The sequence below is a fragment of the Homo sapiens genome, chromosome 8 (genome assembly GCF_000001405.40).
Source record: "Homo sapiens chromosome 8, GRCh38.p14 Primary Assembly".
NCBI classification, from domain to species: Eukaryota; Metazoa; Chordata; class Mammalia; order Primates; family Hominidae; genus Homo; species Homo sapiens.
The window spans coordinates 83,946,758-83,972,007 of record NC_000008.11 but is presented as its reverse complement, the minus strand read 5'-3'; the positions used below and the strand labels follow the sequence as shown (position 1 = coordinate 83,972,007).

Here is a 25,250-nt window from a genome sequence, read left to right as displayed (position 1 = left end):
ATATTGAGAAATCATAGGTAATAAGAATAATGAACATGTAGAATATAAAAGGAACACCAAAACGCTTTTTTCACACTTAACAAATAAAATACTTTCTTTTCCCAAGTTCTCCTCTGGGCCTAAGGCACAGCTGTAAGTGGCATTATAAATGTTGTTGATATGAATTGAATGCATCCATTCTCTTTTTTATGTGGGAAGTATGGAGGAAGGGAAGAGATCAACATAAATATACTGTTTTAAATAATGTTAAAACATTTTTAATTTTTTTCTAATTAAAAAATCAAGCTATTAATATATGTTAGACTCTTAATCCAATAAAGATTATAATGGGAAAACAGATAACATATTATCGATAATATTACCCCACTGATGTTTACCTAACTCACATGACCACTTGACTGCAGCCTAAGCATTCACATAAACTTTTCAGCTTAGCAATTGATATTAATCATGGACAGACCAATTTAGCTAGAGTGATTGGTACTGACTGCTAAAATAGCTGAAATGTTTGTACTGGTCATGAACCTGGTCAATTTGGCCTCTATGTAGACATGAAAAAGATGAGCTCATCAGTGTTTTCAGAATAATATGAATCTAACCACATCTTGATACTTTGCAATAAAATGAATATTGAGAAAAATGAATATTCATTTTAAAATGAATGAATATTGAGATAAAAAATGAATATTGAGAAATACTATATGTGTATTCAGTAATCAATTGTCACATTATTCTGCATCACTTTTTATCACAGCTTCTAGTACACAGTGATATTACAATTATCTAGTTTCTTATAAAGATGCTAATATCAACCGGAATTCCAGACACATTATTTTGGAAATATTAACGCAAGAAAATCTTCTTGGTGCATATGTGTTTACCCTTTGGAATGTGCGTGGCTGGATACCACTGATTCTTTTTAAATAAAACTTTATTAGTAAAACTTCTCAAATATCTTTACAACAGCCCACTGTTCAAGAGGAAGTCTCGTCCTTCCCAGCACACAGGTTGAATCGCCCCCGAACCCACCCGGAGCCCCACGCCAGGCCTGAGAAGTCCTCCTGGGATGGGGAGAAGTTATGAGAGGGGGAAATATGGGGATGAATGGGGTGGCTCCCCAGCGGCTCCCCACTTTTCTATTACGAGAGAAAAAAAGCACAAATGAGACAGTGGGGGTAGAGGTGATGGACAGCTGACACCTAAGCTGGAGGATGGGCGCCCAGGATGGGGGAGGCGGAAGCTGCTGCGTGAGTGAAACAGGCAGCCCCTCCCCAGCATCTCTAGCCTTTGGGACCAGTGATTCTTTTAGGAATTACAAGGAAGATGAAAATCTCTTCTATAAGGTAATGTGTGGTGGTGGTGGTGGTCGTGGTGGTGGTGGTGATTGTGCTGGAAATCCTAAAAGTCAGAACTTTCCTGGAGTTGAGGCTTATTGTTATTATTATTATTATTTGCCCTTTCCATTCCAGAATGCCTTTCAGCTGGGATAAAATTCTTCAGGAAGTGGAAAAGAGAACAAGCTTACTTCTGGGATGAGGTAGACAGAATGTCAATTAAGTCAGAAGAATCTAAGGCTGAAGATCTCATGTTGGTTTCAAGATGCCATCTTATCAACATGGTTGGAAGTACTAAAGTCATAATTCCTGTAAAATTTTTATACCATTCTGAAACCTGAATAACTTCACATTTATTTCCCCCTTTAGTTTCACAACAGTGTTTAACTGTAAAAACCTTTGGAAACACTAAGATGGTGCTGGAGGTTAGCTGGGAATTACATAGAGCTTTACAGCCTAATTAGGGGAGGAGTAGCTGTAACACATAGGTAAATACCCAAACTCTACAGTTACAGGGGATGAAACAGAATCTGATCAAAGACACCCAATAAATCTAGAAAAAAAAAAAGAGGAAAGAGATAAGAAAATAAAAGTAAACACAAAACGAAGAATTCATCAGCAGTGAAGTGCAAAATGAAACGGGAGCAAATCACAGCCTCAAGTAAATTTTGCCAGATACAAAATGCTGTAGGTAATTTGATGAAGACACTTGAAACTGATACACGATTTCTCTTTCTGGGAAAGTATTTCGCTTTTTCAGGAAGGAAATTAAAGACAGTTTGGCATATTCCATCACCATTACCTGTTTTGGAAGGATTGATGATGGATGCATGGGTAGACCATAGAATAAGTGGAATATTCCTTCCCCTGCCATAAATAAGCAGCATTTAATAGTTCAATAGCTCTAAGATAAAACAGGATTACTTCTTGCCATTTTCTCCCTCTAAACCAGGTTCTTAAAAATACAAACAATTTACTCCTACGTGGGAAAATACTTCCTAGAGGGGTTAAGTCTGGAAACAAGTGCATACCACTGACAAGATGATCTATTAGGACTAATTGCATAATGGAGGAGTCAAAGCACAAAGGAACCACACACATCTTCACCAAAGATGATGTTAATGAGATTTTTTTCTCTCTCTAGCTAGTATCATTATTTGCAGAGATAATGATCATGTGTACTAAAAATCCAGGACTATTAAAGTAAAACTATTAAAATTAACAAAATAGGTCTGGGTCCTGGTCAGTTTCAAGATTAATATAGAAACATCAAGATTCTTTAAAAATCACCAATAATTGCTTAGAAAATAAAATTAAAATGCTCATTTTTAAACAGGAATGATAATTATATAGCTGGAATTTTCTAAAATTATACTTTAAGTTTCAAGATACATGTGTAGAACCTGCAGGTTTGTTTCATAGGTATACATGTGCCACGGTTGTTTCGTGCACCCATCAAACTGTCATCTACATTAGGTATTTCTCCTAATGCTATCCCTCCTCTAGCTCCCCACCCCCTGACAGGCCCCAGTGCATGACATTTCCCTCTCTGTGTCCATGTGTTCTCATTGTTCAACACCCAGTTATGAGTGAGAACATGAGGTGTTTGGTTTTCTGTTCTTGTTTGGGTTGCTGAGAATTATGCCTTCCATCTTCATCCATGTTCCTGTAAAGGACATGAATTCGTCATTTTTATAGCTGCATAGTATTCCATGGTGTATATTTGCTACATTTTCTTTATCCAGTCTATCACTGATGAGCATTTACATTGGTTCCAAGTCTGCTATTGTGAATAGTGCTGCAATAAACATACATGTGCATGTGTCTTTATACTAGAATGATTTATAATCTTTTGGGTATATAGCCAGTAATGGGATTGCTGGGTCAAATGGTATTTCTGGTTCTAGATCCTTGAGGAATTGCCACACTGTCTTCCACAATGGTTGAACTAATTTACACTCTCACCAACAGTGTAAAAGCCTCCCTATTTCTCCACACCCTTTCCAGCATCTCTTTCCTGACTTTTTAATGATTGCCATTCTAATTGGCGTGAGATGATATTTCATTGTGGTTTTGATTTACGTTTCTCTAATGACCAGTGATGATGAGCTTTTTTTTTTCATATTTATTGGCCACATAACTGTCTTCTTTTGAGAAGTGCCTATTCATATCTGTCACCCAGTTTTTGATGGGGTTGTTTTTTTCTTGTACATTTGTTTAAGTTCGTTGTAGATTCTGGATATTGGCACTTTGTCAGATGGATAGATTGCAAAGATTTCCTCCCATTATGTAGGTTGCCTGTTCACTCTGTTGATAGTTTCTTTTGCTGTGCAGAAGCTCTTTAGTTTAATTAGATTCCGTTTGTCAATTTTGCCTTTTATTGCCATTGCTTTTGGTGTTGTAGTCATGAAGTCTTTGTCCATGCCTATGTCCTGAATGGCATTGCCTAGGTTTTCTTCTAAAGTTTTTATGGTTTTAGGTCTTATGTTCAAATCTTTAATTCATCTTGATTTAATTTTTGTATAAGGTGTAAGGGAGGGGTCCAGTTTTAGTTTTCTGAATATGGCCAGCCAGTTTTCCCAACACCATTTATTAAACAGGGACTCCTTTCCCTATTGCTTGTTTTTGTCAGGTTTGTCAAAGATCAGATGGTTGTAGATGTGTGGCATTATTTCTGAGGGCTCTGTTCTGTTCCATTGGTCTACATATCTGTTTTGGTAACAGTACCATGCTGTTTTGGTTACTGTAGCCTTGCAGTATAGTTTGAAGTCAGGTAGCATGATGCCCCCAGCTTTGTTCTTTTTGCTTAGGTTTGTATTGGCTATATGGGCTCTTATTTGGTTCCATATGAAATTTAAAGTAGTTTTTTCCAATTCTGTGACGAAAGTCAATGGTCGCTTGATGGGGATAGAATTGAGTCTATAAATTACTTTGGGCAGTATGGCCATTTGCACGATTTTGATTCTTCCTATTCATGAGCATGGAATGTTCTTCCATTTGTTTGTGTCCTCTGTTATTTCCTTGAGCAGTGGTTTGTAGTTCTCCTTGAAGAGGTTCTTCACATCCCTTGTAAGTTGTATTCCTAGGTATTTTATTCTCTTTGTAGCAATCGTGAGTGGTTCACTCATGATTTTGCTCTCTGATTGTCTGTTATTCGTGTATAGGAATGCTTGAGATTTTTGCACATTGATTTTGTATCCTGAGACTTTGCTGAAGTTGCTTACCAGCTTAAGGAGATTTTGGGCTGAGACGTTGGGATTTTCTAAATATACAATCATGTCATCTGCTGGGAATAGTTTTTCTTACGTGTAAGATTTGCGTGAAAAGACTATATATACAATTTTACCTAGGAAGAGAAAAGAATAAATATAGAGACATGCAATGTAACTTCTTGATAAAATAAAATAGTCTAAACATTATATTATTAAATTGAAATAAAAATAAAATTTAAGACTATATGTACATTATATCAACCAGTTACATTTTTAATTTTAAGTTCAAAAATGAAACCAGTTTAAATCACTTCTGATATCACCTACAAAGAGTTATGTGAAAATACCTAGAACATTTAAGACAAAGAATAATAGATGAGGATTAGCTTTTTAAATTTTTGAAACATATTTTAAAACATATTATTTAACACTAGTCAGCAAGGTACAAAAGTAGACTAGCCAATGTAACTAAATATGTATGTCTAGAAAAGAACCTGGATATAGTTGAAATTTTAGGGAATTATATTGGGAAGTTTTTCAAAATAATACAATAAGGAGAAATTAGTCAATAAATATATGGACAGGTGATTTGCCATATGTAAATATAAAAGTTATATCCCCTACCTCATGTGTAACATGAATTATTCCCAGGTCTCTACCAAAGACATACTTTTTAAAAATAATTTTTATAATTTTTGTTTTTGAGAGAGTTTGATAGGAACACAAACTCAGAATAAAAGAAGGTTTTATTATATTTTCATTGTTAAACATCCCCCTCTACAACTACCTTCTATATCAAGCAAGAACAGCAACAATCTCTGTATGGAAAATAAATAAAATGACTGATATTTAAAAGACATAAGTTCATATCTATGATATGTAAAAATTTCTTGAAATGTAAAAGAAAAACACACACGTGTTCAACCTCATTAAAAAATGTTAAACAAAAAAGTACTTTAGTACAGTAGATAGAAAAGGGCTAAAAATATTGACAAAAGTATATTACAAAGTGATGATGTCCAGCAGAAATTTCTATATGATGGAAATGCTTTCATATCTTTAATATCATGTATGAAAGCCATCAGACATATATGGTTATTGAGCAGTTGACATATGACTAAAGTAACTAAGAAACTAAAATTCAATTTTATTTTTTTTAATTAAAATTTGAATAGCCCTCTAAGGATAATTACTACCTTACTGGAAAGTACAGTTACAGAGTTTTCACTAAAATATATTCTTTTCCACATATGATCAGTATGACCGAAACATACCACTTTATTTTATTTTTGAGATGGAGTCTTGATCTGTCATCCAGGCTGGAGTGCAGTGGTGTGATCTCAGCTCACTGCAACCTCTGCCTCCGGGGTTCAAGTGATTCTTTTGCCTCAGCCTCCTGAGTAGCTGGGACTACAGGCTCCCGCCACTATGCCCAGCTAATTTATGTGTTTTTAGTAGAGATGGGGTTTCACCATATTGACCAGGCTGGTCTTGAACCCTTGAGCTCAAGTGATCTGCCTGCTTTGGCCTCCCAAAGTGTTGGGATTATAGGTGTGAGCCATTGCACCCAGCTCAAACATAGCATTTTTGAAGAAATCCAACCATATGCATCAAAATTATCCAAATATATTCTCTTTAACCTAAAAATTTCAAATTTAGCTTTTTATTGTAAGAAAATAGCATGGTAAGTACAATAAATGTAGTACATGGACACACGGAGAGGAAGAACACTTACTGGGGCCTGTTGCTAGAGGGGAGAACATTAGGGAAAAGAGCTAACGGATGCTGGGATTAATACCTAGGTGATGGGTTGATAGGTGCAGTAAACCACAATGGCACACATCTACCTATGTAATAAACCAGCACATCCTGCATATGTACCCTGAAACCTAAAAAAAAATGAAAAAATTTTATAAAATGAAGAATGTTTATTGAATTTGAAAAATTGGAGACCATATAAATGCCTGAATATAGAAAAAACGTTAAATAGATTTGGTTCACTAAGTCACGAGAAAATTCACATAACATAACTTCCATGTTGCTTCTGTATTGTGGTCACTCTCCAACGTTTTACATATAATAGGATGTGATAATTAAAGAGCAGTGGGATCAATGTCAGGAAAAGTCATTTTATTGCTTTTCTTGTTCTGGAAACTGCTCTGTTATTAGCAACTCCTTAGTGAATTTTGGTTCTGTATGAATAGCTCATCATATTTATTACTCATATTGATCTTACTGATTACTAACACCCTTAAGCCCTTTCTATACACAAAAAGAGGTGCAATTTTGAATCTTATGTACATTATAACATTGAACTAAAATTTGTTATCCTCCTCCATTAAACTGTAAATTCAACAAGGAGCGAGAATGTTTCAAAATAATATTCCCCAGTGTTAGCATACACTTAGTAGTCACATAATAAATATGTGTTGAATTAATTAAATAAATGAAACATACATTAGAGACCTGAGCATATTTCAATGGTAACTCCATTTCAGGAGTAAAATTTCCTACACATCTGATGAATTAGTTACTCAAAACTTATCTGTTATGTGTGATAGATAACTTCAAATATCTGGATAAAGTCAATGCTCAATTCTGAATCTTGGTCTATGTATCTAACTGCCATCACTTCTGCATGCATGTTGTTTTATTATGGCAACAATGATTACATAAAAGCACAGATTATTAAAATATAAATAAATAAGACAGGAATTATGTAGGCTTCATTAAAATTGCCAAGTGTGTTAAGCTATCCTGATAATTTGCCAGTAATGACTTGTACATTTTTATTGCATAGCCATAAATCATTCTATCAGATTTTATTCTTTGATGTTTAACTAGCAGATTACACGTTATTAAAACAGACAGTGTACCTCATAAGATTTTTCTTCCTTCTTTAGAAATATTTATGGAAAAACTATTTAATTTTAATTTAAAGAATGCTTTAGTTTGCTTTTTCCATCTACTGAAATTTTAATCACACTGACATCATATTTGTAAACAACATAGAAGTCTTCTGAAAAATATGTCATGTTTCACAGGGAAAAATGGACAAAACAAAACAAAATTAGAATGTAAGAAACATAAACAGAAGACCAGTTGAATCATATTAGACCAGCTGCCACAGAACGTTGAGCGGAGAAGTTCCTTCAGAGGGATATTCGGATTGTTTATTTCATCTTCTTTGACTTCATTTATATATTTTTCAACAACAGATGGATTAGTACTAGCTGTGTCTCCATGCATGAATGTTTTATACAGGTATGTGTTGCTCGTTTTGGCTAGGTACAACTGAGCAAGTGAGCACTTTCCATTTCACTGCCAGGTGTTCTTTACAATGACTTTTAAGATTGACTTTTAAGTTGTCATGTTCTTGAATCTGGAGTTAAGAAAGGAAAAAAAAATTTTCTCTTTGAAATTCAGTATTGCTTTTGAACTCACAATCTGAAGACTTGTAGTTACCAGAAAGTTGACCTTTTGAAACCTTGCTTTGTATTTTTTAAGTTTGAAATATTAACGCTGAAAAAAAAACAGTATCTCCTCTTCACAAAATTGAAGCTTCTGGGAAAATATCCAGTGATTTTTTTCCTGTTAAATATACATTTTAATAGACATAAATGTAGTAACAATTCGATATTTCCAAAAAAAAGACATGTTTGAATTCCTTCCAAATATCTTTTATAGTTATTTATGTATTTTATTTATTTATTTATTTATTTTTGAGATGGAGCCTCGCTCTGTCACCCAGGCTGGAGTGCAGTGGCATGATCTCGACTCACTGCAACCTCCGTCTCCCAGGTTCAAGCAATTCTCCCTGCCTAAGCCCCCCGAGTAGCTGGGATTGTATTTTTAGTAGAGATGGGGTTTCACCGTGTTGGCCAAGCTGGTCTTGAACTCCTTACCTCAGGTGATCTGTCTGCCTCGGCCTCCCCAAGTGCTCAGATTACAGGCATGAGCCACCGTGCCCGGCCTATGTATTTTATTTATGGGTTGGTGGTGGTGGTGCTTTTTATGTTTCATGACTGAGATGGACTTTTGAATCTTATGCATTTTTTTAAAATTAAATCATATTTTACTTTGTGTAAAATTAAACCATAATCTGTTCCAAATAGTGATCTTAGCTTTTACATTTGGAAACTTTTAGTTCTCTAAAAAAACTTATTTTTGACTTTGAGAACTTAGGTTGCATAACCTAGAAGGACTGCACTGGAGATACAAGTCGAATGTATCCTTTAAAAAACAGATGAGAAACCTTTTTACTTTTGATGAAAATATAACAATTGAATAAAAATTCTGTGGAAATAATTTTTTATAATCCAGAAAAAAATATTTTCTTCCTCTTTCCACCCCCTGCTTTTTCTAAAACTTGTTTCTCTACTTACTTTATATTTTTTAAGTTGTAAAGCTTGCTTTCCATATTATTACATTAATATCTTTTTGTCAGATCATTTTTATTGTCTTAAAATCTTTTTTATCATTTGTTCCTGTTTCATTTAGAAATTTTATCTTCTAGAGAGCTATCAGTGTTTGTGAAAATGTTAATTTTCTATAATTTTGCTAATTTTATCATGATTTTCAGAAATCAAGAGATAGCTGATTATTATAATGTCTATGTGATTTATTTATAGAAAAAATGACCATTTCTGAGACAGGCAAATAAGATGGCTAAGGAAAAAATCAATTTTAGATTTAAAAAGATTACTAAAACATAATTTTTATTCTGCCATTTAAATTATTCTTTCTATGATTTTCGTTGTTGTTGTCTTAATTTATCCCTTCACTACAACTTATCAATATATTCTTTTAAGAGGTGAGATCTCTGTCTGTCACCCAGGCTGCAATGTGGTGCTATGATCATAGATCATTGCAGCCTTGAACTCCTGGTTCAAGCCATCTTCCTGCTTCAGCCTTTCAAGTAAATAGGATTCATGGACACAAGCCACCTGCCTGGCTCAACTTATGTTAGCAGCAAGTTAGTTGTCTACTAGAAGAGGTCTTGTTTTTCTTTTTCTTTCTTTTTTATTTTTAACAGAACAGAGAAAAACATATTTGCTTCTATAATCTGTATTGAATTCACTTCCATTCCAATATTGACAATGCCCACAGTAATTTTGGCTCTTCAAATTTTTGATTTCTATATATACCATCACTGTAATGGAATAAGGTACAAAATTCTTGTAATCAGAAATCTGTATTGGCTTGGTGCACTAATACAATCATTAGCAATTTCCATTAAAATACGTATGTATGTGCACTCACACACACACATACAGATTCACTCACCCAATACAATGCTGGAAACTGTGATGGAAAGCTAACCTATTACCACATTCTGAGAAAATTCTCCATATATGAGGCCAATGGATCTAGTCCAAGAAACTCTTGCCCAGGTATATTTAAAATCTTCATAATACAATAGAAACAATTAAAAATTTATTTCGTATTTCCCCCCCTATCTGTTATGTAACTCAAAGATCCATTATTTATACAACCATGTTTTCTTTCAGCTGCATTCTATCCTAAATGCTATTTTTAGTATATCTTAAATTGTACTACACACATACAGTCCATTGCTATTCTTTATATTTTGTTTAAATGCAGTTATGCTTTTGCCTATATTGTTTTAAATACTGTGACCTAGTGATATCTATTAGTGTACACACTGTGGCAGACATTCCCAAAGCTGACTCACAATAAGTTATGGCCTTGTATAATTCCCTCCCCTTGAATGTGGGTAGAACCTGTGACTTACTTTTAACCAATAGAATATGGCTGAAGTAGTGGGATGACAATTCCTTGATTACATTACTTTACATGGCAAGGAATAGCACTCACTTATGTTATACTATATATAACTTTGTCTTAGCTTTAGACTGGAGAGTCACATTCTTCTGCTGACCTTGACTGGCCATATGGCAGAAAGTTGTGGGTGTCTCTACAGCCAGAGAGTGGACTCCATCTGATAGTCAGTAAGAAGCTGGGTACTTCAGTCATACAATTAAAAGAGAATTAAGCCCTGGTGCGGTGGCTCACGCTTGTAATCCTAGCACTTTCAGAGGCCGGGGCGGGCAAATCACTTGAGGTCAGGAGTTCGAGACCAGCCTCGCCAACATAGCAAAACCCCGACTGTAATAAAAATACAAAAATTAGCTAGTTGTGATGACTGGCACCTGTAACACCACCTACTCAGGAGGCTGAGGCAGGGGAATCGCTGGAACCCTGAAGGCGAAGTTTTCAGTGAGCCAAGATCATGCCACTGCACTCCAGCCTAAGCGACAGAACAAGATATCATTTCAAAAAATTAAAATAAAATAAAATAAAAAGCAATTAATTATGTCAAAAACCTAAATGAGCTTGGAAGTGGATTCTTTCCCAGTCAAGCCTCTAGATGAAAAGGTAGTCTGGCTGACAACTTGATTTCAAGACCCTGAGGAGGATTCTCCTAGGTCCTGCCCAGAATCCTGAACAAACAAGCTGTGAGAGAATAAAGTTGTTTTGTATTAAGTTGCTAAGTCTTTGGTAAAATTTTGAGCTGCAGTAGTCAACTAACAAGGATATCTATACATCCCACTTTTTGAGGGGTGTGTAATTCCAGATGCACTTTTTCAGATGACTCTGATAATTATTTTGCTAGATTCCCACAAATATTTGACAATTTTGATTGGAATCATATTAAACGTATAAATTATTTTTCAGTGAATATGCATTTTTACAGAAATATTTAGTTGTTTTAAAAATCTAAAACTATATTCCCTTGAATCCAGTAATATTTCTGATATCAAAAATATATTTTGTCCTGGATCCAAATGATTATGTTTCTGTATTAATATATTGAACTTATTTACAAGTTAGATTTACTAGCATCAAATAATCATGGGAGTCCAAAAAGTCATGTTGTATCACTGTTGAATATAAAGTCAAAATCAGTTTACCCACATTTTATTTTACTGTTTCTGTATTTATTTTGGAAATAATACTAATACATACTACCATTTCTTGTACTTGGTGAGGTTGGGTACCTTTCTCTTTTATGAGACAGGGTCTTGCTCTGTTGCCCAGGCTGGAGTGCAGCAGTGTAATTGTAGCTCACTGCAGCCTTGATCTTCCAGGCTCAAGTGATCCTCCCACCTCAGCCTCTTGAGTAGCTAGGACCAGAAATGCATGCCAATGCACCTGGCTAATTTTTATGTAGAACCAGGATCTGGCTAGGTTGCCCAGGCTGGTCTCAAACTCCTGAGCTGAAGTGATCCTACTGCCTGGACCTCCCAAAGTGCTGAGATTATAGGTGTGAGCCACCATACCCAGCAGTATCTTTTGTATTGAATTGATAAGTCAACATTTTTCATACTAAGGTACAGCTAACATAGCATGATAACTAACTTCTTGGAATGACTTGCTAAAAAATTACCTTTAAATCACCTAATCCCATGGCTTTTCTTAAAGAAAATTTATTTTTTTTCTATTTTTGTTGGCCTGTTCTTCTGAAGAAATTTGATTACCATTTATAGAAACACATTTACTTCATGGAGAATGTCAACTATATTGGAATACATACTAATTTCAATCTTTTTATTCATTTAAAATCTTTTCCATATCGGAGAATATATTGCCTTCCTTATGTATAATTTATATAGTTTGGCCTTTTTTCATTTTTCTTTTGAATACATTGTCTTGAATCTCTCTCTGTGTGTGTGTGTGTGTGTGTGTGTGTGTGTGTGTGTGTGCGTGCATTTAAGAAGCAGAGGTGGAACTAGTTTTTAGTCCTTTCTCTTGATTTCCTGTTTTCTAATGTATTTCTATACATAGCTTCTTATTTGCTTATTTGTTTATAATGATTAGTTGCAGTTTTAATTTCTACGTAACATTAAGAATGTTTATCACATTGATTAAAAGAAACATACTGGATTTTTAGGTAATTTTCATTAATCTCATGTTTTATCACATTGTATTTTAAGCATGTTGTTTTATCTATTGTGATTTGTAAGTTTTAACAGACAATGCCAATATGTACATAGATGAAGATTTCTTTTAATTGATTTACTTTGGAATGTGATGAATGATTTTTGTCCATAAAAATAATACTTTTTTAGAATTTTTTATTCCTATTTGAATTATAACTACACATTAAATCTTCCAATTGCCTCATCCTCTGGCATATTATTAACATGCTTTTACTGTCCAATTTTTTCTTTCACATGAGTTCTTTAGTCACATTTTTGTATTTTTGTAATTTTCTCTTTGATTTCTTTGAGTTGCACTTTATACAAGTTACTGTTTTTACATGACTTGTTCTTTTTACTCAGAATGGCTATGGTTATTCTGGAACTTTTGTGGTTCCACATACATTTTAGGATTGTTTTTTCCACTTGTGTGAAAAATTTCATTGGTATTTTGATAGGAATTGCTTTGAATCCATAGATTGCTTTAGATAGTATGGATATTTTAATAGTACTGATCTTCCAATCCATGAATATGGAATATCTTACTATTTTTGTGTATCTCCTTCAATTTCTTTCATCATTGTTTTATAGTTTTCACCGTAGATATCTTTCACTTCTTTGGTTAGGTTTTTTTTTCCCAGGTATTTTTAGCTAATGTAATTGAGATTATTTTTCAGATTGTCTACTGTTGGCACATAGAAGAGCTACTGGTTTTTGTATGTTGATTTTGTATTCGGCAAGTTTATTGGATTTGTTTATCAGGTCTAATAGTTTTTTAGTGGAGTCATTAAAATAAAAGATTATATCATCTGCAAATAAGAGTAATTTGACTTTCTTTTTCCAATTTAGTAATTTGACTTTTTTTCCATTTTTTGTTTCTCTTGTTTAATTGCTCTGCTTAGGACTGTTAGTACTATGTTGAGTTAAAGTGACAAAAGTGGACACCCTTAACTTGATAAAGATCTTAGGGAAAAGACTTTCCATCTTTCCCCATTAAATATGGAACTAGTTATGCTTTTGTCACATACGGCTTTTATTATATTGAGGTTCTATACCCATTTTTGAGAGTATTTTTCCTGAAGGATGTTGAATTTTATCAAATGCTTTTTTTGGCATCTATTGAAATGATCCTGTTTTTTGTCATTCATTCTACTGATATGAAGTATCACATGTATTTATTTGTGTATGTTGAACCATCTTTGCATCCCTGGGATGACTTTCACTTGACCAGATTGAATTCTTACTTGTTGTTTGACCTTTAGCAAATTACAAACTATATTGTACTTCAGTTTCTTCATCTGTCAAATGGCTTTAATGGTTATATCTACTTCGTAAGGTTGAAATGAGGTTTAAAATAGTTGTACAGTCATGTGCCACATAACGACATTTTTGTCAATATCTGACCACATACACGACAGTGGTCTGTTAAGATTGAAATGGAGATGAAAAATTCCTATTGCTTATTGACATTATAGCTGTCATTACATTATTCAGTACAGTAACATGCTGTCCAGGTTTGCAGCCTAGGAGCAATAGACTATACCATATAGCCTCAGTGTAGTAGGCTTTACCAAGGTAGGTTTAGGTAAATGCATTCTATGATGTTCCCACAGCAACAAAATTGCCTAAGGATGCATTTTTCAGAAAGTATCTTCATCATTAAGTGATACATGGCTGTATATGTGGCATGTTTAGAGGACTGCCTGCTATATACTAGGTGCTGTTTCTGTGTTAGCCATTAATAATAATAAAAATTAATCTTATCATTAAACCTATTAGTTTATCCCATTATACTCTTTGATCAGAAATGACTTACTACCCACTTTACAGATTCAGGATTCCTCATAAGTCACAGTCTTCTTTGCAGTTTTATCTATGAATTTGTTGCTTCTCTTATTACAATATCAGTAGGTCAAAACTCTCAGTATTTATTTCAGCCATACTTTCCTCTTCAGTTTCTTATTTGACAGTTATTGTGGAGAGAAAGAAGGGTTCAATGGAAATAGGAAGGAAATGCCTAGAAATCACTTTTCATTTAACTAAAATCTGTGGATATATTCTAGTTTAAAACAGTAAAATTGTTAAACTGTGGAAAAGGAATAAACCTTCCTTATATATACATATATATGTATATATATAATGTTTTTATATATATGTATATATATGATCAATTATTTTTTTCTTATATATACATATATGTATATATTCAGATTGGAGTTCATAAATCTCAGGATATACTTGAGTTGGCCTCATACAGTGTCTAGCCCACCTTAATAGTTCTATTTTTTAACAGTATCTCCAGAACTTGTTCGTTTATCTTTGGTAGTCTGCTCACCATACTCCTGATTTGATTGGGACAGTCTGTGCCTGCACTTATTGTCCTGTTGTGATTAACAGAGACTCTTTTCTCTCTCAAAACTGTTGCAGTTTGGACAATATTTATTTGGTCACTCTAGTCAAAGGCAAATCTTCAGATCATTAACTTCCAACTTACTCAAAACTGACCAAGAAGGAGCAATAAGGTTTTATTATAGTTCTCCTTGCTGCTATTTTTTAAAATTTACTTTTTTGTCCTCTATAACTTTTGAGCCAATGCCATTTTCTTATCCCACCACAATCTTGTCTGCCTACTTTCTGAGAGTCCTTTCCTATTACCTACCAAGAAATAACATTGGCATTGAAAATGTAGTTTTACAGATATGTGCATATTTTTAAATACATTAACAAATGTTGGCAATATTTTGCCCTAATGTGGTTAGGGCTTAATTCTTGCAATATTCTTGCAAATTTTTTTTTAGAAATCAATTACTGAGTTTTGATGCTGTCACTTCACAGTTATTGTATTTATAGTTACATATCTACAAATTTTGAAATTTAGAATTTTTTTCTATTTGATATAGTTGGCTTACTTGCTATATGTTTGAAAAATTAATTTGTCATGATGATCTGAATTATATTTTAAGATGAATTTAAGATCAATTTGTTTTATAATATTGTCGGAAAATATTAGAAATAAGAATTTTCTATCTGAGAAAGAGTAGTACTCAAGAATCATTAAAACAAGACACTGGTGGCAATATGAAACAGGTCAGAAGTTTAGTAAAGGACCTACATTTTGTAATAATTATTTTTAATATTTTAACATAAGTTGAGAATAATGTTATAAAAGAAGATTGACAAAATGCCACTGAAATAGATAGAAAACCTTAACACTGCTGAAATTTAAAAAAAAAAACTAGTACTAATAACACAAAATGGGAAATACATTTAATTTTGTAGCCAGTAATTCTGTTGAACACTTGCAGAATTGGTTTTAAGGGAAAAATTACTTTTTTTTCTTATTGTGTAGCTTGAAATGACTTCATCTTCTAGCCATGGGATGACTGTTCTTTCATAAGATGCATTCAAAAATAGTAAATCATACAAATATATCAGAACTAGTAATAGTGTATGTCTTCCAAAACATAGCTGTCCCAGCTTTCATGCCAAGCTCTCATAGTTATATGAAATGTGTGGATTCTACTTCTTAAACAATGATTAGTATGCATCTAAGATTTAAGCTGTAACAAATAGTGAAAAAATTGAACATTTAAAGTGTTGAAATAAAAGAAAATATCAACGACTATTTTAGATCATCAATAGATGTAAGCATTAAATAAATACCATATTCTCTACCTGGTTACCCTTTCCAACTAGACAAGACTCAAAACGACAGAAGGAGGCAGAATCTATATTTGAACTAAAATATACAGCCCAGGAGAACATCCTGTCAAAATAAGATGACAGATAATTTCTCTTCCACCAAGTGAATTTAGTAATGAGTTTAAATCTGACTGAAATAAGACCGTATCCCAAAATAGTTGTAAAATCTGTAGTAAGAAATGGGGGCAGCAATAATATTTTATACTTGCTATGTGAGGAAAAATTGGATCTAAAATATTATACTAATGATCTACTAAGTCTCTCTCTTATTTTTAAAGTATTAATTTTATAGAAATATATTCTATAGACTTACGGTCTAAATAAGACAGAGATTAGTCTAAAAAGAAACACCAAATAATAATCTAAAATATTTGTTTGCATATATAAGTTATATATATCCTTTTCTAATCTCTTCCTATTAGAAATTACTAGATTTCTTCATATGTTTTTCAAGAAAAGGCATTCTCAGCTTAGAAGGGCCTGTGCAGTTACCATCTATAGGAGATGCCATCTTAAAATATAATATTCCCATATATTTAGTAGACTGTTAATGATAATTATCATTTGGGACAATCAGCTTCATTTACTTATTGTTGGGATTTTATAGAAATCTTAAGGACAAAATTATTATTCTTTTTTTCTCTTTGATAAGTAATGAGCCCACATTATTGAATAAGCTACATTACAGCAGTCATAATGTCTTAGCTATACAAATAATTCTGGAGATTGAATTCTTACTTCTTGTTTGATCTTCAGCAAATTAAAAATTGAGTTTATTTGGTATTCAACCAATTTCATTTCAATAGGCACCTAGTTGAGCTTTTATCCAGGAAGAACAAAGGAAATACTTATCTTCTTCCATTTGCCTCCTTGTCTTTAATTGTGCTGCTTCTCTCATCCTTGTTATCTTCTACAGTCTGTTGACCTGTGTCCATTCATCTTGGAATGACCCTCTCTTTATATTAGATTTGATAACTTAGCTATCGAGTTTTCAGTGTCTCAGGCTGTAATTGCTCAATGTTTTTAAATATTGGGTATAGAGTTGTGTGTGTTTGTGTGTGTGTGTGTGTTTGTTTGTTTTTAGAAATAGCTCATTCTTTCTGTTTGCTTGTAAAAACAGACTTGTGAGAAATGCTGGAGGTTAGGAAGACGCAGGCTGTCAACCAACATGTGGATTTTAATTATGTGTTGCAGCTGTTTGGGAATATATTCATCTCTAGGCTTCATTATTGTGTAAAGGCTAACTAATTTGGCATTTGGTTTTTTGTTTGTTTTTGCAGAGAAGACAATTTTTGACCTCAGTAATACTTAAAGTGCGAAAAATAAAACTGTGAAAAATAAAACAACACTAAAGTCCAATAGATGCTATAATTACTTACTGTGTCAAGTTGTCCCTTTAATGTTGCAACATGTGACATTAATAAATTCATTCACATTTAGATGTCAAGTAAAGTAGGGTCTTTCTGTGTTTAATATGTTTGTCATAATTAAACCCTGGAAGGAAAATTGGTCAATAAAGAACAAAAGAGCAGAATGAATCAACTGCCACTTTTCTTATATGTTCACTAATTTCAAAAACCTTTAATTATAAATTGAATATATGATACATTTATTCACGTATTATTTCTAATCCCAATAACAACTTTTGCAAAATTTTTATTACTCTTGTTTTATGTATGAGGGGGCTGAGGGCCAGAGTGACTAAATGACTTCACATCTCTAATTGAGCCAATAAATTATGATTAACCAGATTGTATCAGGCATTTAGCTAGATGCTGGGTATATGGTAGTGAAATGAGCGGGCACGGCCCTTGCCCCTGTAGAGCTAAAAGGGTAATAGAGTGCTTGGTAGCATCAACAAGACTGAGTTCACTTTAGCCTTTCTCTATTCTAATTCAGTGCCATTTGCTAGTTTTATGCCACTTTCTAGCTCTATGCAGTTTGCCAGGTGGCAAAGTTTCTTAAGTTTGATAACCATTAGTTTATGTCATCTATAAAATAAGTATTGCATTACAGTTTTTTGAGAGGTGTGGCTGAGTGAATAAGTGGTGTTTTTTTGCAAGTGACTGGTACCTTGTGGTGCTTAATTTAAAGAGAATATTATGTAAATGTATTGTATAAAGTCTTACACAGTTTCAGAGATCATGAAACTTATCTTACTGCTCAGTCCTGCATGGATTCTATTTCTAAAGTCACATTATATTCCAAGGTGGATGATAAAGCCCCAACACCTCCATCTATATTTCATCCAGCAAGAAGAATATACGAATGTCATGGTCTCTAATGATAAGAATGTGTCATGAAAATCATAAAACACTTTCAATAAAACCTTATTAGTCAGAAGTTAGAAGTTAGCTGTGTCTTTTACCTAATTGAAGGTAGGCTGATAAATATAGTTTTGATTATACCAAAACTGAGAAAATGTTTGATCCTAGTTACAAGCCTACCACTTAGTCTGCCATAGTTTAATAGGTGCTGACAGGAGACATGAGACTCCAGAAAAAAGCCAGAGGACTTTATTATTCACAATAGAGCAGGCATTATGAATTTTATATGTATATCAGTTTTCCTTGTTCCCCAACTCCCTTTGGGCACACACATATGTGGGCCCACATGGATGCCATATACACAGTGGGTCTGTGTCATGGTTGAGGAAATCTAAGGTGAGAAAATTCCCAACCTTATAAGGAAATTCCTAACAAACCTGTCAAAATGTTAGCCCACACTAAGTTACTATTTGTATTATATGCTTAGGAAATGTATCTGTCCTCTAACCTGGAGGGACAGCCTATCTATAGTTCCCAAGGCTATTTGCTACACAAATATCTCTGAAATGCTATCCTGGAACAAAAGATGATGTGCAGAAACACGTGCATGAGAGAACCATGGAGAATTCTCTCATTGGACAGTCTGGGGATTGTGTGCTTAATTAAAAGTAAGGAAGGTTTGATTAATTTTAAGGAAGGATGGAAAAACAGTTACTGGGAAAAACTGATGGCAAATGCCATATCCTATTAGGATTTACAGTGAGGTTTAAATCATGTCTCTACTATTCTGTTTCAGAGAAACCAATCTTGTCATTGCATGTATTCCCAGTCTTTGCATGTATTCCTACTTCTGCATCAGTCTTTATTCATTTTCCTCATCTGGAATTGTACTCTAAGGAGCATGCATTGAACACTTGCCAAGTACCCAGCACTATATTTAGGTCCAGGAAAATCATAGTAGATGAAATATGGGCTCATCATCTTTCAGTGGCATTAGAACTTGGTCAACACAATTTGCTCGATTCCACAATTCTAAATTATCTTAATTGCAGTCTGTGATTCTGGCCTATTCATGCCTCTGCTTGACTTCTCTCTCTTTTGGCTCCTGGCCATTTTGATAGCTAAAATCTACACATTTGATTGCTAACTTCATTTTTAAACTTTAGTGAACATGTCACCTCCCGCTGAAATCCATTCTTATCTCTGTCTGCTCCTGACCAAGCTTATACAACCCTAGCACTTTGCATGAAGAACTGAAGCAGCTGTCTATTTGGCGTCATCTATAGTAGGGAGGGCTCCATTTAGACAATAAAATATTGATTCCTGTTTTTTCCATGTATATTTACTGTAATTTTATATTTCCTATTTAACATTTATTTTATTGACAAAAAAGTCTTACTTCCCATTTAGGTTAGGTGTTATAAATTCTGATTGCCATGCCTTTCTTTAGGACACATTTTAATGCTTCCATCCTTTCTTGTGGTATATCCAACTGCTTCTGACTACGGTTCCTTCTTTTCTTGCCTGCTAATGCAGATTCACAGTATCTGTCCTGCTCTCCTTCCCTCAACAACTCACAGCTTTCTGAAGTTTTGAAAGAGTAAGCAACCATGAGGAAAAATTGCATAAAAGACTCTCTCACCTGTTCCTATTTCATTTCTTTCTTCAAAGTTTACACTTTCAAAAAAGATAAGCAATCTGTGACTGTTATAGGAATACTTAATATACAAAAATGTGAAGTTACATTTAATAACATTTCAGAGACATGCTCTGTTAAATATTTTTGATAGATCTGGAATATGAAAAATATCCAAGAGAAAAATAAGCCTAGCGCTATAGGCCTTATGGGAAGATGTGCTATTGGGAGTGTTGAATTCCCCAGGCTTAGGCATGAACACATGACATTTTCACTAGGAGGGAAGTGGAGCTCCTTCTTCCGTCCTTTACCATTAGTCTGAAACATTCCTTCATCTAAGCCCTGGAGAAAGGCTAAGAGTAGTATGGGTCATAAGAGAAAATGAAATGGCAAAAGAAATGGAAGCCTTAAATTACTGCAGTAGGAAAAGACATGTTATATTCATTTATCCTAAAGTTTCCAAGGTAATCTTGATGTAGTTTACACGTGTAAATAAAATAAAATAGGCATATTCATCCTTAAGGGGTTAAATTAATGATAATAGAGTTATGCTGGGATTTTCATATTGCTCAGTGAAGGAAGATCTATGTATTTTTGAATAAATGAAGGTCATCAAGAAGTTTATTATTAATAAAAAAAGCTATAGGAATGGGAACTACCTATGATCAACCAGCTGGAAAAATATTTCACTGGGCTTAAGCAATGGGAGTCAGGGATTACTCTGACATTTTTATCGATCGATTGCCATTTGCAAATGGGAGAGAGTAAATTACCAAACATGACTCACTTGGAGAATAACTACTATTCTTAAACAGATTTAAGCTGTTTAAGAATAGTAACAATAGGCTATGTTTAAAACCAATTGGATCAGGGGAAAGTAGTGGAGGTATGATAACTATGTGTTACAGGATCTATAATACACGTATGGAGAAGAGTGATGCAAATCCTCAAAACTGATCCCAGTTACTTCACATTTTAGATAGAAAAAACAAAACCAGCAATTCATTTCTTCTTTAAGACCAGTACTTTTCTGTTCTAGATGGCCTAACACTCTGTGTAACTTTCATAAGCTTCCTATGTCACCTCTTTCACATGTACACATGCTCTGCTGAGTGGGGCAGCCACACATTGGACAGTATGCTCAAACTTATGGCTCTGAGTATCTGAAGCAGTCTCAATCACACTAATTTTTGCTTCTATTTAATTTGGCTCAGAATAAGCTCCAGTTAATTTCCCTTTAGGTTTAAGTAGAAAGGACCTACATAAGCTTTGGCTGGTTATTATTGTCTATTAAAAAATTTATAATTACATTTAAAAATAAATGATGCATATTAATATGTCTTTTTAAGTTTTTTATTATTATACTTTAAGTTCTAGGGTAAATGTGCACAACGTGCAGGTTTGTTACATACGTATACGTGTGCCAGGTTGGTGTGCTGCACCCGTTAACTCGTCATTTACATTAGGTATATCTCCTAATGCTATCCCTCCCCCGTCCCCCCACCCCACAATAGACCCCACTGTGTGATGTTCCCCTTCCTGTGCCCAAGTGTTCTCATTGTTTAATTCCCACCTATGAATGAGAATATGCAGTGCTTGATTTTCTGCCCTTGCGATAGTTTGCTGAGAATGATGGTTTCCAGCTTCATCCATGTCCATACAAAGGACAGGAACTCATTCTTTTTTATGGCTGCATAGTATTCCATGGTGTATATGTGCCACATTTTCTTAATCCAGTCTATCATTGATGGACATTTGGGTTGTTTCCAGGTCTTTGCTATTGTAAATAGTGCCGCAATAAACATACGTGTGCATGTGTCTTTATAGCAGCATGATTTATAGTCCTTGGGTATATACCCAGTAACGGGATGGCTGGGTCAAATGGTATTTCTAGTTCTATAAAAATCAAGCCAACTCAACTTTATTTTCTCCTCAACTGAGGTATGTTTCGAGGCAAAAATTCTCAGAGCATTGTTCAAACTGATGTTTTAATTTAATGACACTAAAATAAAAAGTGTACTTTTGATCTAGTTTTACCTGTTATAGTGCAATTATAATAATTCTGAATATTGAACATTTGTGGCATTCCTTAAATTAATAATATTTCCTAAGGTATTATTTTAACCACGATTTTAGTATATGTTGCTATAATGTCAATGAATTTAAGACCTGATCATATATGTTTTAATTGGGTATCTATAATTTATCCATGATCCCACAGTACTCCATTAAGTAGCTAATTATTTCATTGCCAGTGGCTGGTCAAGAGCAGATATATAAATTCTCAGCTAAAGGGTGGAAATTAGGCCATTCTTTTTATTTACTCATTATTTATACTTATTAACAATTCCCCTCTTTGAAATCCTTTTAGGGTACACACACAAACAAATTCACTCTAAATGACATTTAACATACACAATTAATTTAAAATCATTCTCCTCCTGTAGAGATATTATGGCAGAGAATAAAAGCCAAATTACTCTCATTTACTGGCATACAAGGGTTTGTTCTTGCTGATGGTACACTGACTCAGAAGGCTTGCAGCAGTAGAGATAACTTCTTTTAGACTGCATCAGCAGTCCCCTGTAATCATTCCTGATTATCCTTTGAGTGGTAACCTCTGTTACCACTCAAGATGGATCAAAAGCATATCCAGCTAGACCTATCTTTGCCAGACTCGTGCTTGAAAGGTTTAAATGGATTGATGACCCCAGTGACATTCCTAGAGCAACTGTGATACTTATTTCTCTTTACTGCCTACTAATCATACTGTATACTTCTGAGCATCTCCATAAAAGAGAAGCTAACGTTTTCTCCTAAGATTTATCTGTACAGTCAAAAGTATTGTGTTAGTATTCCTGTCCATTCAAGTAAGCTTTGCTGAAACAAACAATAAATGAGTGTCTTCGGTAGTGAAACTTTTTTTCTTTCTCTCTGTCTCTTTCTCTCTCTTTTCCTCCTTCCCTTTTTTCTCCCTCCCTCCTTCCCTCTTCCCCTTCCTTCCTTTCTTTGATTTTGTCGTATAAATAAAAACAAACAAAATAATAATTCTTCATTCAGACATATTTCTAAAGCATTACCAGGCACTAGAAACACAATGAATACAATATGAGACTTCCTGTCCATGGTGTAATGGGAGAGAAAAATGAGCTAAATAATTATAATACATTAATTTCACGACTCATCAAATGACTTATAGATAATAAATCAGGATTTTTAAGTGTTAATTTGCCAGTTATATATAAAAAGGAAACTTCTTGTGTGAATAGTAGACTCATAATTCAATAGGGAAACTGTGGCAAAAGTGTAAAGTTTTGATATCTAAGAATATCTAAAGATAGCACAGTTCCTGCATTAAGAGCAGCTATTTTGATTTTGCCAGAGCTGTGTGCCATTTCACAGCACAATCTTCCATTTAATAATCATGCCATCTCTTCATCATGTATCAGAGAGATGAGAAGTTTCACTTTCTAAAGCCCATGATTCATAATGCTACTTGGCCTGATAGAGAGCCAGCACCAAAATCATTTGCAAAAGCACCTCCAAAAACCTTTTCTCTACTACTGAAAAATGACTCGGTCTGTTTTCAGGCTGTGACTAGAAACGCTGGACATTATTTTCATTTTTATATTAATGATAGGTATTTTAAGTACAATAAGGATGAAACACTGCATTTACCAGGTGTGGTGAGTTACAGCAGGTGTCTGAACAATATAGACATTTAGCCTGAATCATCCACCCTGAAACATTTTCTCATTTCTTTAATAGAAGAGGAAATTTTCTCTCTAGGTCACGTAGATACATTTTCTTAACTTTCAATTTCACTTTCCCTGTTTAGATATAGATATGCTTTCAATACCCTGACAGGTTTTGGAGGGCAAAAGCATGTCTTTCCTTTCTTAATTTCTTACAGCTTTTAGTGTGACAGCCATTTCCACAAGGAGAATATTTAATAAAAACATATTATCCTGAATTCAAAACCTGTAAAGTCAAATGTAGCAAAAGGTAAAAAGTCAGTTGTTCCAGACTCTTGACTCATTCCTGTTCCATCACTTGCTTCTATGGCTACTTTAGGATTTCAGCACTCGCTACACTAGCAAGGCAAAAAATTACAGCATCTGGGCATTCAGCCAAAGCTCATATGCTGTCATTAAAACTGAACTACCATGTAAATAGGATTGCTTAAATGATTTTTTTTTCCCTCCCTGCAAAAGTGACATTTTTCCCTGTCTTAAATTTGTCAAGCTGTCTTTATCGTTTGGTTAACTATGTAAGTTCTTGCAAATTTATTTGTACAATCATGTAATGATATGTACAATTTTTAATGGTATGAGGTGAAATTTTTTTTTCAAGATCAAAACAAACTCAATGCATTGAGTGAGGTGATCTTGTCTATTGAATTAACCATTTTATTATAACTTTATACAACATAATGATTGCTCTTCCTTGACCTTTAAGCTTAACCACATACCCAGTTTTCTTGTGGGCTAGTGGAGAAGGAATCAGTAAAACTGTACATCTACCAACTCTGTATGAGCTAAATTTTCTTTCCAATTAAAGATAAGCAAAAAGGCTAGGAATAAACTCAACTTAAAACTAAAATTAAGAAAGTGCAACTTAGTAAGAAATTTCACCCTAGAAATCCTTACACGGCATCAGAAACAAATAATATGATGACTTAGTATCTTTTATATTGGAATAAATATAAAATTAAACTTTCAGTACTTCTTAGTGCAACACATAAACTAACAGAGAGAGAGAGAAGAGAAAAGAAATAGGAGAAGCGAATGAAATGAGACGAGAAGAGAAGAGAAAAGAAACTCCTTAAAGAATTATAGGTTTTTGCTAAGCCCTACACTTTTGAACTTTTCAGAGACATTCACCATTGTTAAACTTAATTTCTAAGGTCACTGTCCATCTACTTGGAAAAGATAATCTATTGCATTGTAACACTACAAAAAATTGTATCATGTTGCTCAGAACTCTTATCTTAATGAAATCTTCCTGGCATTTTGACAATTTTGGAAGAAGTTTCATTTCTCAGATGAAATTTCTTAGACTGATTTATATGCTATTTGCATCACTGAAACATAGGTTCCCCCTCCCCCTTCCCTTTAAGAGTTTAGACTAACACTGCTGACTTGGAAACTCATTCT

The 25,250-nt window shown here is 33.9% G+C and overlaps 1 long non-coding RNA gene across 1 annotated transcript in view; it reads right to left on the bottom strand.

Moving 5' to 3' along the window:
* Nucleotides 1–913: 913 nt before the first annotated feature.
* Nucleotides 914–25,250, bottom strand: part of LOC124901968 (uncharacterized) — a 58,399-nt gene continuing 34,062 nt past the window's right edge. Inside the window, exon 2 of the long non-coding RNA XR_007060983.1 lies at nt 914–4,680. This is a non-coding gene — a long non-coding RNA (uncharacterized LOC124901968). The remainder of the gene's footprint in view (nt 4,681–25,250) is intronic.